Below are 19869 nucleotides of genomic sequence, written 5' to 3' on the forward strand. Positions count from 1 at the left end.
GTCAACCTAAGGTCCCATCCAATAGTCTCTGAAGCTCTGGACAAAGGACCTTGGGATGTAGGACCAACCTTGCCCAGTCCCTTCATCTTACTGTAATGCTGTGGGACAGAGGAGGGGAGTGGCTTGCGCAGGGCCACGTAGCCGGTGGGCACCAGAGTTGGGTCCCAGTTCAGTTCCTACTGCTCCTCTAGGGGTCCTCACCCCAGCTGGGCACATGAGCTCCAAACCTCCAAACTCCACCGCTCCCTTTACGTGGTTTCTGGCGCCTGGCTCTGTGGCTCTTAGCCACAGTCTCTCTCCTTCAAGGACTTTTTTTTTTTTTTTTTTTTTTTTTTTGAGACAGAGCTTCACTCTTGTTGCCCAGGCTGGAGTGCAATGGTGCAATCTTGGCTCACTGCAACCTCCGCCTCCCGGGTTCACATGATTCTCCTGCCTCAACCTCCCGAGTAGCTGGGATTGATTACAGGCATGTGCCACCATGCCCGGCTAATTTTGTATTTTTAGTAGAGACAGGGTTTCTCCATGTTGGCCAGGCTGGTCTCGAACTCCCAACCTCAGGTGATCCACCTGCCTCGGCCTCCCAAAGTGTTGGGATTACAGGTGTTAGCCACCGCGCTCAGCCCCTTCAAGGACTTTATGGGCTGCCCCAGCTGAGAGAGGGGACTTGTCCTCCTAGTATGAGCTCCTGTGGCACCCAGGAGGTGGGAGGTGGCACCTGGACAGATTGTCCATGGTCAAATTTGGGAAATTTACTTTTGGGTTCAACCCAGGTAAAGGGTGCTCTTTAGGGTAGGCCTCATCAGGGCCTTTAACATGCTGCTGTGTCCTGTGAATGTCAAGACATTTCATTGCCAACATTTAGAAGCAATCAAGATGTCCTTCAATAGGCAAATGGTTATATAAACTGTGGCACATCCTGGCAATGGAATATTATTCAGTGTTCAAAATAAATGAGCTATCAAGCCATGAAAAGGCAAGGAGGAACCTTAAATGCATTTTACTAAGTGAAAGAAGCCAATATGAAAAGGCCTCACACTGTATGATTCCAACTAGATAACATTCTGGAAAAGGAAAAACTGTGGAGATGGTAAAAAGATCAGTAGTTATCAGAGATTGGGGTGGGGCAGGGAGAGGTAAACAGGTAGAAAGCACAGAGGATTTTTAGGGCAGGCAACTTTTCTGTATGATACTATGATGGTAGATACATGTCATCAACATGAGTCAAAACCTATAGAATATACACCACCAAGAGTGAACCCTAATGTAAACTATGGACTCTGGGTGATAATGATGTGTCAGTGTAGGTTCATCAGTGCTAACAAATGTACCACAGAGATGCACGGTATGGACAATAAGGGTGGCTACTATGTGGGTGGGAGAGGGTGTATGGGAACTCTCTGTATTTTCTGGTCAATTTTTCTAGGAGCCTAAAACTGCTCTAAAAAATAAAATCTATTAATTAAAAAATATATATATATCCACATACACACATATATATTAGGAAGTGATAAGTGTTACAAAGGAAAAATAAAGCAGGGGTGAGGGTTTAAGTAAGGGGTGAGGGGCATGGGCTGGCTGTTCTGGATGGGGCGAAAGTGGGGGTCAGGATCATGAATCAGAGACTTAAAGCAAAGGAAATGCGCCCTGCAGATGTCAAGGGAGGAGCATCTTGGGACAGGAAGCCGCAGGTGCTAGCCCCGACTCAGGGAAGAGGAAGCACAGGGGGTCTGGAGTGGAGTGAGGCGTGGGGAGTGGTTGGAGGTGAGGATGAGTCAACAGGTTGGGGCCCAAAGGCACAGCGATCCTGTTCTCAGATTGGTGAGTCACTCGCTGGAGGGTTTCAGCAGGTGTGTGATGTGTCAAAATTATATTTATGTTTTTATTTTTCAATTTTAAAAAAAGCCAGTCAAATTGAGCAGTGGGGGGTTGTGTATCAACTTTAGTGACATTATTTATGTTTTAAAAAGATGACTGCAGCTGCCGTCTGGCAGATAGACAGTAGGGGGTGAGGGTGGAAGCAGGAGGGCTCATTAGGAGGCCACGTAGCCCTCCGAGTGGGACAGGGGGCTGGGGCAGACCCTGGCATCTGTGGCCGACAGGTGAGAGGTGGCTGGATTCTGGGTATATTTTGAAGGGAGAGTCAGCGGGGTGTGGGGTGAGGGAGATTCCTGAGTTCTTGGGTGAACAGTGGTGTTGTGTCCTGAGATGGCAAAGGCCAGCGTTGGAGCAGGCTAGGGGGCAGTCATCTGGGGACATGTGGCCTGTCCCATATCCAGGTGGGGCCGTTGAGGAGGTGGGTAGATTTGTGAGGCTGGAGTTCAGGGGACTCTAAGGCCACGGCCCCGATGAGATCCCAGAGGGAGTAGACGTTGAGTGGAGAAGAGAAGAGGTCCCAGACCTGAGCCCTGGCCCTGTGAGGGCCCACCCAGGGAGAAGGAGTTGTGACACAGAGTGGGAGTGTGGTGTCTGAGGAGCCCAGAGGCGGACAGCATGCTGCCAAGGAGGAGGATTGGAGACTGGCCATGGGGGTCAGCAGTGGCTGGGGAGGGCCAGAGGCCAACTGGAAAGGCTTCGGAGGGAGTGGAGATGGGGAGGATGGACAGGCCTTTCCAGGAGTGTCCTCTGCCACCAGAGGGAGGAGACACATGGGCCCGCAACGTGGGCGGCACTGGGTGGTCTAGGGGGCCCTTTTGACTTTCTCTTAAATGAGAGAAACAACAGCATGATTCTCTCTGGGTGGGAAAGATTCTCATGTGAGGGAAAACCGATCATTCAGGAGAGGGGAGAGCACATCCCAGCCCTGCAGCAGGAGTGCCCAGACTAGGGGGTGAGGGGTGGAGGGACAGGGGGCCTGGGAACCCAGGGAGAGGGAGGCAGGGCCTAGGGGTGGGGTGAGGTGGGTTTGGGGCCACAGTGTCTCTAGGTGCCTCCCTTTTTCTCAGAGCACAGCTGTCAGCTGAGAGGGAGGGAGGAGGAGGTGTTGTAAAATATTTGTCTCCAATGTGGTTCTCACAGCCATGGGGTGAAGTAGGTGCCATCATCCCCGCTTTGAAGATGAGAAAACAGGAAGGGGGCCAGGTAAGTTGCCAGCTAGGGCAGGACTGAGGTTTGAACGGGGCCTGGAGGCCACGGGGTATGGAACTGGGATTCAACTACATCCTGCCCCTCCCGCTTCCCATTTCAGTCCAGTGCTGCACTAGCAGGGAGGACACTGGGGTCCAGACAGGGAAAGTGATGTCCCAAGGCCAGACAGCAAAAAGGTGACGTTGCCATCGCTGGTCCTCTTCCTCCCTCCCCTAAGCTCTATGGGCACAACACACCTGGGCCACTCTGTTCCCACCCCTACTCCTGTCACCCCTGCAGGGCTGCCTTCCGGGGCCCTCCTCCGTGGGCCCCTCTCTTTCCTCCTGCCTTGGAGCCTTGGTTCAGTTGCTCTGCGAGTTGGGACAGTGCCTCTTCCCCACTTCAGTAGACCCCAGCCTAGGGTCTTCTGGACCCTGGCTGCACATTAGAATTTTCTGATTTAACTGGGCTGGGGCCTGTTTTAAATTGAGATATAGTTGGGTGTGGTGGCTCACGCCTATAATCCCAGCACTTTGGGAGGCTGAGGCAGCCAACTTACTTGAACTCAGGAGTTTGAGACCAGCGTGGGCAACATGGCGAAACCCCATCTCTACCAAAAAAAAAAAAAAAATTAGGTGGCCGTGGTCGTGCATGCCTGTAATCCCAGCTGCTTAGGAGGCTGAGGTGGGAGGATCAGCCGAGCCCAGGGAGGTTGAGGCTGCAGTGAGCTATGATTGCACCACTGCACTCCAGCCTGGGTGATGGAGTGAGACCCTGTCTCAATCAGTCAATCAGTTAATCAATTAATTAAAGTACAAAGTGCACGTCAGTGAACATGAGCCACTACACAGAACAAGATATAGAACACTTCCCGCATCCTGGAAGGTTCCCTCCTGCTCCTTCCCAGTTAATGTCTGCCCCTGGTAACCAGTCTTCTGACTGTCAGGATCAGGTTTGCCTGTTATGGAACTTCACAGACATGGAATCACGTGGAATGTGCTGTTTGGTGCTCAGTGCTCTGTCTGTGAGAGTCCCCCGTGCTCCGGTGGGCTGAGTGGTTTTCCCTTCTCTACCACTGTGTAGTTGGCGTAGGTCTAGTTTCTGGAAAATACTCTGAGCTGAAGGTTTGGATGCAGGAGGTTTGGATGCAGGAGGTTGCTCTCGGAATCAACAGGATTGAAGGATGGAGGACTGGACTGAAGGAGAAGTCACAGTAGAGGCCTCAGCTGACCCCACATGGAACCCTGAAGCTGGGGTGACTCTTGAACATCATACCATATTAAGACAAGGGGCCAGGGCTTTGCACCCTCGCATTGACCAGTCACTGGACGCAGGCTGTCTCTGGGGAGGAGGCATAACCTTTGACGAGGTGGCTCCCTTCAGCCAAGGGCAATGCCCAGAGAGGGACTCAGCCGTGGACCATGAGCAGGCAACACTCCCAACAGCTGGGGTCAAAAGTGACCTCACCCTGGGAAGGTGGCAAACCTACAGCATCCACTGCAGCCTGCCCCTCATGCTACTTGGAAATCTGAGCCCTTATAATAATTCATCCCACCTGGGAACAGCTTCTTCAGGGTCCTGGTTGGTCTCTTTTCCTGGGGAGGCTTATAAGGGGAAGGTCAGTGAGATAAGCCACAGTCCCGCTGCTGCAGCAGGACTCTGGGCCACAACAGACACTTGCACTCTCCCTCTTCAATGACCCTGACCTTGGCCAGCACCTCTGTTGGTCTGGGTGGCTTCCCTTTTGAGGGGACCTGGCCCCTCATGTCTGAGGGAGTCTGAGTCTCTGGCCATCCTGCTCTCCTCAGACCCTGACCATTGCCCTTTCCCATTTCCCATCAATACCAGGCAAGGGAGCACCAAGAGATGTCCCAGGGAATTACCTGGCTGCCAAGGCTATTATTCTTCCCTGCCCCTTGCCATACAAACAGTGTGAGGCTTGTACAGAAGGCCCAAGTGGATGATCAGGGCCAGTTATTCCTGCCAGGATGGTGACTCTGTGTTGTTGTTTTTTCCCTGCTGGTTTCTTGCCACAAGGGGCCTGAAGGGAAGTGGTGGCAGTTACAGCTGAAAGTTTAATGTGACTCTTGCTGTCTCTTGGTGGAACTATTTCCCCTTTGGGAACCAGGATTTCTAAACTTGCAGTGCCCAGAGTTGTCCCTGGGTGTGGTGGTGAATGGGGCTGCTCCTACTTCTACCCCATAGTTCTTAGATGCATGTATTCTAGTCCCATTAGGGACTCAGCACCATACAGTAGTCATTAGAGTGTGTGCCATGTTCCAGAAGACAGCTCACCATCCTTGCAGGAGATCAGCTCCAAGCTGGCACCTCATCTGCATCTTTTTATTATTATTTATTTGATTGATTGATTTGTTGCCCAGGCTGGTCTTGAGCTCCTGGGCTCAAGCAATCCTCCCTCCTTTGCCTCCCAAAATGCTGGGATTACAGGCGTGAGCCACCTCACCCGGCCTATTATTTTTTAAAGTGACAAATAAAAATTGACTATATTGGCTGTGCGCAGTGGCTCACACCCGTAATCCTAATACTTTGGGAGGCCGAGGCAGGTGGATCACTTGAGCCCAGAAGTTCGAGACCAGCCTGGGCAACATGGTGAAACCCTGTCTCTACTAAAAATACAAAAATTAGCCAGGTGTGGCGGCATGCCCCTGTAGTTCCAGCTACTTGGGGGGCTGAGGCAGGAGGATCGCTTGAGCCAGGGAGGTGGAGGTTGTAGTGAGCCGAGTTGGTGCCACTGCTGCACACCAGCCTGGGTGATAGAGTGAGAGTTTGTCTCAAAAAAAAAAAAAAAGTATATTTTTATGGTGTGCAACATGATGTTTTGAAATTGTGGAATGTCTAAATCAAGCTAATTAACATATGCATGACCTCACATATTTTTATGGTGAGAATACTTAAAATCTATTCTTGTAGCAATGCTCAACAATACAGCACGTTGTCATGAATTACAGCCACCATCCTGTACAGTAGAGCTCTTGGTCAGCTGCATCCAAAAGGCTGTTGCATCACCCCATCCAGCAGCAGTGCTGGGTGGTGCGGTGTATGGTGAGACCCGCAGGCCTCCACGTCGAAAACCCACAGCCACACCTCCTTCAATGGCAGGTAGTTTCAGAGGCAGACAGTTTCAGAGGCTTCCAAGAGCTATCATAGTAGCTCTTGCCCCGCAGGCCAAAGCACCAGTGTGGGGGTTCTGCAATGTGTGTCTATTCCAGTTATACACTCAGGGACCAGTGAGACTACCACTGGATGTCCTGTGGATCCACTGGACTCCCTGTGAGCCGAAGCTGGGCCAGGACTCCACTCATCACCTGCCCCCATATGCTTCCGCCCTAACAGGGGGCCACGATGCCTCTTTGGGTCCCCAGACCAATGTCCATGTGGACCCTATGTCTGACAGTCTTTGAAATGCCTGGGTATTCATCTTTCTCCCACATATAGTTACTCACATAAAAAGCGTGTAAGCCCTTCTTGGGAGGGACTGATGGAATCATCATCACATGTGCTGATTCTGGGGTTGCAGGGTCCTTCCTTCTGGGGACCTGGTCTCTCCTTCAGTCAGTTGGATCTGAAACCTTACTCAGATCTGGAAACTTCTCAAAGGACCAGGACTTTCCATTGGGTTGCTGCCCTTAACCCCCATCATGAAGCCTTGGATGTTCTCTCTTGTTTTTTTTTTGTCACCCAGGCTGGAGTACAGTAGTGTGATCAGGGCTCACTGATGGCAGCCTCGACCTCTGGGTTCAAGTGAGCTTCCCACCCCAGCCTCTTGAGTAGCTGGGACAACAGGCATGCACCACCACACCTGGCTAATTTAAAAACTTTTTTTTTTTTTTTTTTTTTGTAGAGACAGGGTCTCCCTATGTTGCCCAGGCTGATCTTGAACTCCTAGGCCCAAGGGATCCTCCCACTTACGCCTCCCAAAGTGCCAGGATTACAAGTGTCAGCCACCATGCCCAGCTCTTGGACTCTTTTGATTGCATCAAGTGGGCAGTGTCCTTGTTTGCTGCCCTTCTGGCTTGCCCTGGGACACAGAGTCTATGAACCATTTCCATGGCTTGGCGGGTCTGGCAGCTCTGACCCAGCTGCTAGCGGTGGTAACTGCCTCCATCTCATGACTCCTGAGCCTGCCCTTCTGATGACCGAGCGCCGCCACCTGGCCTCTTCCTTCAGGATCCTGTCATCCGCACTGTTGTCAGGGCACCCAGTTCTGTAACTGCAGCTCCAACTAGCAGGTCTTCAGAGGACATTCACCTGAGCTTCTTAGGGGCTTTCCCGTTGGCCCTGGTAAATGAGGTGCCTGCCCGGCCTTCCTGAAGAAGACAGATAGTGAGTGGGTTTCTGGCCAGACATGGCGGAAACCCAAGCATGCCCCCCTTCTCCAGGCCTTTGGATCCTTTCTTCCACTGCCTGACACGGCAGCCCTGGCGTTTCTGCTTCTACTGTGGGCTTTCGTTTTCTCCAAGCAGCATGTTAAGGCCCTCTTGCCAGGGTGTTAATTCTCGTATTATGGGATTGACTCTATTTTATCCCACTTGATGTCCCACCCCCGCCCTTGGGCCAGCCCCTGATCCTCTGCATAGTCTTCGAGCAGGGGGAGTGCTCGCCGGGGGTCACTTCTGCACCTCACTCTTTCCCAAGCAGGTTCTGACCTTGACGCAGCCGACTCATCGTGGGCTGAGCATTGAACTTCTTCTGTTTTACGCTCCCCTCATAACTGCGCCCTGGGCCCGCTCCTCAGCTTTTTCCTCTCCAGCTGCAGGAGAGGAGGATCTATTTGCTGCTAAAGAGGCCCTTGGCTTTCTCACTTGGCCTTAAATTAGTGATGAGTCACACTCAGCCTTGCGTTGTCTTTCTCTAGTGCACGCGGGCCCCAGCACAGCCGTCTCCTTCCACAGGCTTTATAATTAATTACCACTCCCCCAGCCTCTCCAATTCGGGAGCTCTTGTCCCTGCAGTGCGGTCCCTTCCCTGCTACCTGCTGGGTTCCAGCTCTCCTAGCACCAGTGACAGTGGGCGACCCAGCTTCTGGGTCCCAGTGTTCAGAGGCTGCTTCCTAGAATCAGTCCTGACACCAACTGGGGTAGGTTAGGTTCTGACTTGGAGACTTGTGTGCAGGAGGGTCGCTGCTGGGAAGTGCCCCTTAGAACACCACGTATAAGAGGAGAGGGCTGTGTGCTCCATGGTGTAAATGCACCACATTTTCTTTTCTTTTTTTTTTTTTGAGGCGAAGTTTCGCTCTTGTTGCCCAGGCTGGAGTGCAACGACGTGATCTCGGCTCACTGCAACCTCCGCCTCCTGGATTCAAGTGATTCTCCTGCCTCAGCTTCCCGAATAGCTGGGATTACAGGCACCCGCCAACATGCCCAGCTAATTTTTGTATATTTAGTAGAGACGGGGTTTCACCATGTTGACCAGGCTGGTCTTGAAGTTCTGACCTCAGGTGATCCACCCGCCTCAGCCTCCCAAAGTGCTGGGATTACAGATGTGAACCACCGCGCCCGGCCCCCACATTTTCTTTAATCCACCACATTGATTCCCTTTTTTTGCTATTGTGACTAGTGTAAAGATGAACATACAAGTGCATGTTCTTTTTGGTGGAATGATGTGTTTTTCTCCGGGTATATACCCCAGTAATGGGATTGCGGGTCAAATGGCAATTCTGTTTTCAGTTCTTTCAGAAATTTCTAAACTGCTCTCCATAGTGGCTGAAATCATTTACATTCCCACCAACAGTGTATATGTGTTCCCTTTTGTCTGCAGCCTTGCCTGCATCTGTTCTTTTTTGACCTTTTTTTTTTTTTTTTTTTTTTTTGAGGCAAAATCTCACTCTGTTGCCCAGGCTGGAGTGCAGTGACACAATTTCTGCTCATTGCAACCTCTGCCTCCTGCCTCTTGGGTTCAGGCAATTCTCCTGCCTCAGCCTCCCTAGTAGCTGTAGCTACAGGCACGCATCACCATGCCCAGCTAATTTTTATTTATTTTTATTTTTTTTTGAGACAGAGTTTCGCTCTTGTTGCCCAGGCTGGAGTGCAATGGCACGATCTCAGCTCACCACAACCTCTGCCTCCTAGGTTCAAGCGATTCTCCTGCCTCAGCCTCCCGAGTAGCTGGGATTACAGGCACGTGCTACCATGCCCAGCTAATTTTGTATTTTTGTAGACATGGGGTTTTGCCATGTTGGTCAGGCTGGTCTCGAACTCCTGACCTCAAGTGATCCACCCACCTCAGCCTCCCAAAGTGCTGGGATTACAGGCATGAGCCACTACGCCCGGCCTGGAGGCCATAATTCTAGTGAATTAATGCATGAACGGAAAACCAAATAGTGCGTGCTCATTTGTAAGTGGGAGCTAAACATTGAGCACCCAAGGATATAAACATGGGAATAGTAGACACCATGGACTTCTAGAGGAGGGAAGGAGGGAGCTGTGGGTCATGAAACTACCTACTGGATAGTATGCTCACTACCTGGGTGCAATATATACCCATGTAACAAACCTGCACGTGTACTCCTGTATCTAAAATAAAAGTTAGAAATAAATAAAAACCACACACATGAGAAAAGAGCATAGGGAAGTGGAACAGGGCAGAAGAGTGGGAGAGGGTGAGCTAAGATGCCCTTTTAACACAGGCCTCAGTTGATCCCATATGGAGCGCTGGGGCTGGGAGGACACTTCAGAGTTGTCCCAAATCAAGCAAGGGATCCAGGCCTGGGTCAAGCACTTGTTGGATATGAGTTGCCCCTGGGAGGGGGCCAGCAAGAGGAGGGCAATTCTTGGAAAAGAACTCTCAGAATTGTCAGCAGTGAATATCCCCTGCAGCTGGGGGATGGAGTGTCTTCACCCTGATGCTGGACTTTGGGGTGGCACAGGGCATAACATTGTACACAGTATATCTGCTTAGTCTTTCAGCTATTGGTGGACACGTAGGTTGTTTGGGGGCTACTATGAATATGGTTGCTGCAAGCATTCATGTGCGTGTCTTTTGGTGGCCTGGGCACTCATTTCTGCTGCATGTAAACCCAACGGTGGAAGTGCTGGTCTAAGGGATATGTGTGCCAAACTTCAGTAGAGATTGCTGCATAGTTTTCAACATGGCTGATCCCATTTTACAATCCCACCAGCAGTGTTTGAGAGTTGTGATTACTCTGCATCCTCGCCAACACTTGATATTATCTGTCTTTTCATTTTAGCCACCCTGATGGTCCAGACATCACTGATTCTGTTGTGAACCCTGGTGGGGAACCAGTGCTCCCCAATGGGTAGGAGGACGTGAGATGTGGGGAGCCCTTGGACCACCCCCACTTGACTACCTGATTCTAATACCAAGGGTCTTCAAAACCAAATCCTGGCAGACACATTAGAGTATTATCAGATCGTAACATCCTCAAGTGCCCAGGCTTGTCCAGCTCCTTTCAGCATGGGATTCCAGCTATCAGATGTGGGAAGGGAGCAGGGGTAAGCTTCGCTGCCTGGAAGGCCAGGCTTCTGTGGACACTAGGAAGCAGCTGCTTTGACTTGCCCTGTCCAGCATTTCATGGCCTCCAATGCACTTTCTCATCTTAGCTCCTTTGGTTCTCATAATAGCTCTAAAGGCAGCAAGAGAACAGAATATCAGCTCTATTTGACAGAAGACAAAACTGAGGCCAGTTACTTGGGCAAAGTCACACAGAAATCAGTAAAAGTGAGCCTGAAACCAAGCTGTAGATTCCAAGTCTGGGACACAAAATTTACCTACTTGTTAGTTTTATTGGCCTATCTTACCCTCCCCTTCCTTTAGAAAGCAACTCAGGCTGGCTCCTTGGTAGAGTTACCCTGCTCTGCCCAGTTCCCCAGTGCCCATCCCCATTCTTTGTTTCATGGTATGCCCCTACCTCTTGCTCATCAATGTCCTCTTAGAAGCAGGTCATTCCCAGAGCTCTCTGTGCTTAAATGTTAGACCAGAGCTTCTCCAAGTTTAATGCACACAGGTGTCTTCTGGGGGCCTTTTAAAAAGATTCTGATTCAGTAGGTCTGGTGGTCCTAAGAGCCTGCATTTCTTTTCTTTGTTCTTTTTTGAGACAGAGTCTTGCTGTGTTGCCCAGGCCTGAGTGCAGTGACGCATTCATAGCTCACTGCAGCCTCAACATCTTGGGCTCCAGCAATCCTCCTACCTCAGCCTCCCAAGTAGGTGGAACCACAGTTGTGCACCCCCCATGCCTGGCTAATTTTTAAATTTTTTGTAGAGATGGTGTCTGGCTGTGTTGCCCGGGCTGCTCTTGAACTTCTGGGCTCAAGCAATCCTCCTACCTTGGCCTCCCAAAGTGCTAGGCTATGAGCCACCAAGCCCAGCCACAGCCTGCATTTCTAACAAACTCCCAGGTCATGCCAGTGCTGCTGGTCCTTGGACCATACTTTGAGTATCGAGGCATTAGATCACTTCCCCAGCTATCGGCTGTATAGGCAGGTTTTTATGCTGTGCTCATCCTCTCCCTCAGAGCTCAGGCAAACACTGGTTGGTTGCTGTCTGAACTCTGGCACCAGTGCTAGTTACTGTAAGTCCAAGCCTCTCTCTGGTTTTCCCATTATGGTATTTACCATTCAAGTCATTTGGCTCAGTTCAAGGCGCCTCACTCTTAACACCTCTCTCAGAAGCACCTCTATTCCCTCCCTCTGCCAGCTCGCTTGTCTTTCCTCCTCCATCAACACTCCTAATTCCTACCCTCTCCTCCTCCAAAATGGGCAGGATCTCAGCTAGGCATTAGGCAAAAAGCTAGCTGAGTGCGCTTATTTATACTAAGGTGTGAATGACTCACATCTCTTCCCTTAACTCTCCCAGTGGTTATTTAGATGTGCAAAAGGAGCTTTTGGTTGTTGGAAATGGTGACAGTGAGGGAAAGAACAAGAAATATTCAGGAATTCTTTCCTTTACCACCTAACATTTCCCATATATGGGCTAATGATTGGAATCACATGAAGGAACTTTACAAGTCAAAACTAAAACAGGGACAGTTGGATTTTACCCTAGATCAGCAGAATCAGAATCTCCAACGTGGGGATCAGGAATATCCTTTTTTTTTTTTTTTTCCAGACGGAGTCTCACTCTGTCACCCAGGCTAAAGTGCAGTGGCACTATCTTGGCTCACTGCAGCCTCCACCTCCCGGGTTCAAGTAATTCCCCTGCCTCAGCCTCCTGAGTAGCTGGGATTACAGGCGCGCGCCACCACACCCAGCTAATTTTTGGATTTTTAGTAGAGACAGGGTTTCACCCTGTTGGCCAGGCTGGTCTTGAACTCCTGATCTCAGGTGACCCGCCCACCTCGGCCTCCTAAAGTGCTGGGATTACAGGCGTGAGCCACCGTGCCCAGCCAGGAATGTGTATTTTTTAAAGGATATTTTGTTGCACACACAGGTTTAGAAACTACTTCCCTAAATCATACCAGTTGTGTTTCCATCTCCCCCGTTTCTAAAGGAGAGATTACTCAAAGGGTCCCTCTGTCTCGCCCAGGCCCAGGAGAATGTAGAGTGGGAAGAAATGGGGCATAGGAGAGGTGTTAAGGTCTAACTCCTATCAGAACTCAACTGTTTACAGGCCCCTTATCCTTGGTGAAGCTGAGCCTCAGTTTCCCCATCCCTACAACAGGGATGAAGCCAGCTGCCTGCTGCTCCCCTGTGTGGTTGTAGCTGGAGAGCAGAGAGGCAGCAAGTTGTGCAGATGCAGGTGATTGTGCCATAGGACTAAAGGCAGCCTATGGTGGGGAGGGTGAGGGACCAAAACCTGGCTGGAGAGGCCCAGCACCTGGGCTGAGTGAAGCCTTGGTCACAATGGCTCATTGGGGATAATTGCTGCGGTAATTATGAAGATTGCACAGGCAAATGGATTCTAGTTTACATTCTGCTCTCCTGCAAAGGTCATCTGTAATTGCCTGATTTCCTCCCTACAGTGGGGAGGAGGCTACGGTGGGGGCCTGTCAGAGGGTCACTGGGCTGCAGGCCCAGGCTGAGGGGGGTGGGGGCTGAGGTCTTCTGGGGTGATCTCTGCCAGCCTGAGGCGGGAGGCACATGGGTGAGCTCTTGGCGCAGAGGCTGCTCGGCCTCCTCCTGCTGGATGGTACCCCAGCTCCTTAGTGCTCCTTCAGCTGCGCTGGCTGGAGACGGGAGAGGCAGAGCTTGCTGACTCGTGGGAAGACTGATGCTGAGGCTGAGGCCGTGGCTTGTCCTGTCTGTGAGTCTGTTTAGAAGCCTCAGCTGCACACCCTACTCCATCTGACATGCTCCCTTCTCTGGTCATCTTTCTGTACAAATGAAATGGTTAGACCAGACAAAATGGCTTTGGGTGGCCCCTTCCAACTCTGGATTCCTGGATTCCAGGACTCCAGCCTGTGGTCCCCAAGTTTTGTGGAAGATTTGTGCATAGGCTTTGGAGCTGGATACAATAGAGTGAATCCTGGCTCATTCCTGCTGTGTGACATTAGACAATTGACTTTACCTCTCTGAGCTCCAGTTTCAACTTAAAAAAAAAATAGAGATAATGATATGCATCTCTTTCTCTCTCTCTCTTTTTTTTTTTTTTTTTTTTGAGACAGAGTCTCATCTTGCTCTGTCACCCAGGCTGGAGTGCAATGGTGCAATCTCGGCTCACTGCATCCTCCACCTCCCGGGTTCAAGCAATTCTCATGGTTCAGCCTCCCAAGTAGCTGGGAATACAGGCGCCCACCACCGCACCTGGCTGATTTTTTTTATTTTTAGTACAGACAGGGTATCACCATGTTGGCCAGGCTGGTTTCGAACTCCTGAGCTCAGGTGATCCTCCTGCTTCAGCCTCCCAAAGTGCTGGGATTACCGGCTGAGCCCCGCGCCCAGCCAATGGTGTGCATCTCTTAGGGTTGTTGAGATTAAAGGAGATAATGATGGAATATATAACTGACATTATTGAGTGCTTCCTGTGTGTCAGGCACTGTTCCAGGTACTTTTCATGCCTTAGCCCAGGTATCCTCCCAGTTGCCCTGTGAGGTAGGTGCTGCTATCATCCGCGGTTAAAGATGAGGAGGCACCGTGGAAAGCTTGGGCAGATAGGCTTTCCGCAGAAGTCAGCTGCTGCAACAATTGGGAAGCTTCTCCAACGAGGCTCCTCGCAGGCTCACCTTGAGCTCTTCCTCCTTCTTGGAATCCCCTCCAAGGGTGTGCGTGCCCCAGCCCTGCCCCCAGGCAGCCACACCTCTCTGATTCTGTGAACAGACAACCTGCCCCACACTGTCCATCACTCTGTTGCCATCCGACTCTGTGGTCTCTCTCGATCCCTCCCACGCTCTGCTGGGGCTGAACCCATGGTCAGTTCTTGTTCATCTTCTTGAATGCACCTGTCAAAGCAATGGGCATGGCATGGTGCTGGGAGGCCCATTTATTTGAGAATTTCTAGGGCTAGAATCTCCCAAAGTCCCCACTGGGCCCAGTGTATACCCTATTCTATGTGTCCATGGGCCACGCCTCATGCTAGAAACTGAGAATACAGAGACTAATACAATTGGGACTAAGATTTCAGTGTAGTAGACAACGGTTTCATTCCAGGCTGCCCATGGGAATCACCTGGAGAACCTTGAGTTCTGATGCCTGTGCCCCACCACAGAGATTCTGGGGTGCAGAAAAGTCCTTTGCCTGTTTTTTGTTTGTTTTGTTTGTTTGTTTGTTTGTTTGTTTTGAGACGTGGTCTCCCTCTGTCACCAGGCTGGAGTGCAGTGGCACGATCTCGGCTCATTGCAACCTCTGCCTCCCGGGTTCAAGTGATTTTTCTGCCTCAGCCTCCCAAGTAGCTGGGACTACAGGTGCGCGCCGCCACGCCTGGCTAATTTTTGTATTTTTAGTAGAAACGGAGTTTCACCATATTGGCCAGGCTGGTCTCGATCTCCTGACCTTGTGATCCACCCGCTTCAGCCTCCCAAAGTGCTAGGATTACAGGCACGAGCCACCGCGCCCGGCCCTTTTGCCTGTTTTTTAACTGGGTTGTTTGGTATTTTGTTATTGAGTTGTAGAAGTTCTGTATATATTCTGAATATTAATCCCTCATCAGATATATGATTTGCAAGTACTTTTTCCCATGCAGCAGCCTGGTCTTGAGGAGTTTTAAAAGTGTCCCGGCTGGGCACAGTGGCTCACACCTGTAATCCCAGCACTTTGGGAGGCCGAGGCAGGTGGATTGCTTGAGCCCAGGAGTTTAAGACCAGTCTGGGCAACATGGCAAAACCTTGTCTTGACTAAATACACAAAAAAATTAGGCATGGTTGCACACACCTGTAGTCCCAAGTACTCTGGAGGCTGAGGTGGGAGGATCACCTGAGCCCGGGAAGGTCATGGCTGCAGTGAGCTGTGATTGCACCACTGCACCCCAGCCTAGGCCACAAAGCAAGACTTTGTCTCAAAAAAAAAAAAAAAAAAAAAGTGTCCCAGGTAAGAAAACTGGATATCCACATTCAAAAGAATGAAATTGGATCCATACCTTGTACCACAGTGGGCCCCAGCGTTTTTGGCACCGGGGACTGGTTTCGTGGAAGACAGTTTTTCCACAGACTGGGGTTGGGGGGTGGTTTTCCACAGACCAGGGTTAGGGGAGGGTTGGGGGATGATTCAAGCACATTACAATTATAGGGTACTTTGTTTCCATTATTATTACATTATAATATATAATGAAATAATTATACAACTGGCCATAATATAGAATCAGTGGGAGCCCAGAGCTTTTCCTACAACTAGACAGTCCCATCTGGGGGTGATGGGAGACAGTGACAGATCATCAGGCATTAGATTCTCATAAGGAGTGTGCAACCTAGATCCCTCGCATTCACAAGTTCACAGTAGGATTTGCGCTCCCATCAGAATCTAATGTTGCCAGACAGGAGGCAGAGCTTAGGCGGTAATGTGAGTGAGGGGGAGTGGCTAAATACAAGGTTCCTTGCTCACCACTTACCTCCTGGTGTGCAGCCTGGTTTCTAACAGGCCACAGACCAGTAGCAATCTGTGGCCCAGGGGTTGGGGACTCCTGTTATACTAGATACAAAAATTAACTCAAAAATGAATCAAAGACATAAATATAAGAACTAAATTTTTTAAATTCTTGGAAGAATATATAGGGACAGGCTAGACCCAGTGGCTCACGCCTGTAATCCCAGCACTTTGGGAGGCTGAGGCGGAAAGATCACTTGAGGTCAGGAGTTTGAGACCAGCCTGGCCAACATGGTGAAACCCCATCCCTACTAAAAATACAAAAAAATTATGCAGGCATGGTGACGGGCACCTGTAATCCCAGGTACTCAGGAGGCTGAGGCAGGAGAATTGCTTGAACCCGGGAAGTGGAGGTTGCAGTGAGCTGAGACGGTGCCACTGCACTCCAGCCTGGGCGACACAGTGAAACTTCGTCTCAATAAAAAAAAAAAGAAAAAGAAAATATAGGGAAGAATCTTTATGACACTGGATTTGGCAATAGTTTCTTGGATATAACACCAAAAGCACAGGCAACAAAAGGAAAAAAATAAATTGAACTTCATTAAAATTTAAAACTTTTGTACATCAGAGGACACTATCAAAAGGGTGAAAAGCAGCCCACAAAATGGGAGAAAATATTTGCAAATCCTATGTCTAATGAGGGGTTAATATCCAGACTATGTATAGAACTTCTACAACTCAATAGCAAAAAAGACAAACAACCCAGTTAAAAAACAGGTAAAGGACTTTTCTCCAAAGAAGATATACAGTTGGTCAATAAGCACAGGAAAAGATGTTCAACATCTCTGATCATTAGGGAAATGCAAATAAAAAACACGAGATACCACTTCACACCCATTATGATGGCCATTATAAAAACAGAAAATAACAAGTGTTGGGAGTCTCTGAGCCTACTCTGGTTTGGGAGGCTGCCTGATTCGCAAATAAAAATAATAAAATTAAATTAAAAAACGAGTGTTGCAGGGAAGTGTAGGAATTGAAACACTTGTATATTGCTGATGGGAATGTAAACTGGTACAGCCACTGTGGAATTGTCAATAAGCAGCAATATTTTGAAAGGAATCTTTTTTTCTGAGCAGTAGGTCTCAACAGTAGGCTTAAAACATTCAGTAAACTGTGCCGTCAACTTGGATGTGCTGTCATCCAGGCTTCCAGGCTTTGTTGTTCCATTTACAGACGCAGGCAGAATAGATTTAGCATAATTCTCAAGGGCCTTAGAATTTCAGGAATGGTAAATGAGCACTGGCTTCAACTTAAAATCACCAGCTGCTTTAGCCCCTAACAAGAGAGTCAGCCTGTCCTTTGAAGCACTGAAGCCAGGCATTGACTTCTCTCTAGCTATGAAAGTCCAAGATGGCATCTACTTCCAGTAGAAGACTATTTCATGGACATGGAAAAATCTGTTGTTTAGTGTAGCCACCTTCCACAGTGATCTTAGCTAGATCTGGATAACTTGCTGCAGCTTCTACATCAGCACTTGCTGTTTCAACGTGCACTTTGCTGTTATGGAAATGGCTCCTCTCCTTAAGCCTCATGAACCAACCTCTGCTAGCTTCAACCTTTTCTTCTGCAGCTTCTTCACCCCTCTCAGACTTCATAGAACTGAAAAGCATTGCAGTCTTGGATTAGGCTTTGGCTTAAGGGAATGTTGTAGCTGTTTTCATCTTCTATTTAGACTACTAAAACCTTCTCCCTGTCAGCAATAAGGCTGTTTTGTTTTCTTATCATTTGTGTGTTCACTGGAGGAACACTTCTAATTTCCTTCAAGAACTTTTTCTTTGCATTAACACTTGGCTGCACTCCAGCCTGGGTGCCTCCACTTCCCAAAGTGCTGGGATTACAGGCATGAGCCACTGAGGCTGGCCTCCAATTTTTAAAAAAATTACTTAGCGTGTATAGTTTGGTAGACAAAAATCTTTTTTCAAGACAGGGGATTCCTTGGGTGAAGAAATACCTAAAGGGTCCCATGGTGGTGAAGGGGTTAGAAATTGCTAATCTGGTCCAACCCCCTCAGTTTGAGGGGAGCAGACCTACACCCAGAGAGGGGAGGCACCTGGACCAGGCAGCCTAGCTAGGAGCAGACGAGGTCAGGGCTAGAAGCCAGGACCCGGGCTTGTTGAAGAAGCCAGTTCTGGGCAGGTTTCTTGGGTCCCAATGTGTGCATGTCTGCCCCAAGCTGTCAGCTCCCCCAGGATGGTGACAGTGTCTTTAGCATTTTTTTTGATCAGTGACCAGAACAGGTGGGGAGGTTTAAAAGTCTCTTTGATGGTGGCGTGATAAGATAGGACCTGTTCTCAAGGTGTAGTCAATAGAACACCAATATCAGCATGGGGAACTTTCAGAAAGGTAGGTTATTAAAAAATGCTAATTTGGCTGGGTGCGGTGGCTCACGCCTGTAATCCAGCACTTTGGGAGGCCGAGGAGGGTGGATCAAGAGGTCAGGAGATCGAGGCCATCCTGGCTAACATGGTGAAACCCCATCTCTACTAAAAATACAAAAAAAATTAGCCAGGTGTGGTGGCGCACAACTGTAATCCCAGCTATTCGGGAGGCTGAGGCAGAAGAGTCTCTTGAACCCAGGAGGCAGAGGTTGCAGTGAGCTGAGATCACACCATTGCACTCCAGCCCAGGAGACAGTGCAAGACTCTGTCTCAAAAAAAAAAAAAAAAAAAAAGCAAATTATTGGGGCCCACTACAAACTTGCTGGGATGGAGAAGTACATTGGTGTTTCTCACACCCACCTGTGAACACTATCTCCTGGTATTCACACCCTGGTGCAGCGTTTTCCACAGTGACACTAGGCTTGGCAATATGACTTGGTCTTGCCAGTAAGACATTGGCAAGCATGACACAGGTAGAGGTTTGACAGAGAAATGCTCACACACTGGAACTTGTCCTTTGGAATGCTCACTTTTGGAGCCCTGAGTTACCATCTAAGTGGGTCCAGCTATTGTGCTGGAGAGACCACAATGAAGGAGAAACAGAGGGAAACAGGGGAAGGGACAGGGACAAGCATCCAGCCAACTGCCAGCTACTGCAGCCATCCCAGCTGAGGATAAGTCATGTAAATGAAGAAGCCATCTTTTTTTTTTTTTTTTTTTTTTTGAGACGGAGTCTGGCTCTGTGGCCTAGGCTGGAGTGCAGTGGCGTGATCTCGGCTCACTACAAGTTCCGCCTCCTGGGCTCACGCCATTCTCCTGCCTCAGCCTCCAGAGTAGCTGGGACTACAGGCGCCCACCATGACACCCCGCTAATTTTTTGCATTTTTTAGTAGAGACGGGGTTTCACCGTGTTAGCCAGGATGGTCTCGATCTCCTGACCTTGTGATCTGCCCACCTCGGCCTCCCAAAGTGCTGGGATCACAGGCGTGAGCCACCGCGCCTGGCCGAAGAAGCCATCTTGGACATTTTAGCCCCAGCTGAGGGCATGTGGAAGAGAAGAGCCACCCAGCTGAGCCCAGTCAATCCACAGAGTCATCATAAATCATCATTGTTCTAAGTCACTAAAATCTGGTGAGCTTTGCTAGGCAGCAATAGACAACTGAAACCCCTGCTGAATCAGAATCTCTGTGGCTGTGGCCTGAATCTCCATTTTGTACAAACCTCCCGTTGGTCCCGATGCTTACTAAAGTCTGAAGACCCCTGGAAGGGGCACTGCATTTGGAATCCAAAAGCTTGATTCAGGCCAGGCACAGGGCAACATAGTGAGACACTATCACTACAAAAAAACAAACCCAAAAATTAGCCCGGCATGGTGGCCTGCACCTGTAGTCCCAGCTACTCTGGAGGCTGTCCGTAGGAGGATTGCCTGAGGCCAG

At 49.7% G+C, this 19869-nt stretch overlaps 1 protein-coding gene across 3 annotated transcripts in view, besides 2 other annotated features; it reads left to right on the plus strand.

The window, feature by feature from the left end:
• The window catches only part of PACSIN1 (protein kinase C and casein kinase substrate in neurons 1), a 69148-nt gene that overhangs the window by 17251 nt on the left and 32028 nt on the right, over positions 1-19869 (plus strand). Inside the window, exon 1 of one of the 3 annotated variants that reach the window (XM_011514541.2) lies at positions 1687-1818. The exons of 1 other annotated variant lie outside the window; for it this stretch is intronic. The gene's annotated coding sequence lies outside the window, so the exon portion shown is untranslated. Of the gene's footprint in view, positions 1-1686; positions 1848-19869 lie in introns of those variants that run through there. One more of the 3 variants, XM_047418689.1, reaches the window with a different exon arrangement.
• Positions 1803-1862: an enhancer, noted in NCBI's record as "active region_24383". NCBI's record gives its function as "activates an Ori minimal core promoter by ATAC-STARR-seq in GM12878 lymphoblastoid cells {active_cell/tissue: GM12878}" and the evidence as "EXISTENCE:reporter gene assay evidence [ECO:0000049][PMID:35858748]".
• Positions 6094-6598: an enhancer, noted in NCBI's record as "H3K27ac-H3K4me1 hESC enhancer chr6:34457197-34457701 (GRCh37/hg19 assembly coordinates)". NCBI's record gives its function as "activates a minimal SCP1, AML or CMV promoter by ChIP-STARR-seq in naive and primed H9 embryonic stem cells {active_cell/tissue: H9 hESC(naive and primed)}" and the evidence as "EXISTENCE:reporter gene assay evidence [ECO:0000049][PMID:30033119]".

The sequence above is a fragment of the Homo sapiens genome, chromosome 6 (assembly GCF_000001405.40).
Source record: "Homo sapiens chromosome 6, GRCh38.p14 Primary Assembly".
NCBI lineage: Eukaryota > Metazoa > Chordata > Mammalia > Primates > Hominidae > Homo > Homo sapiens.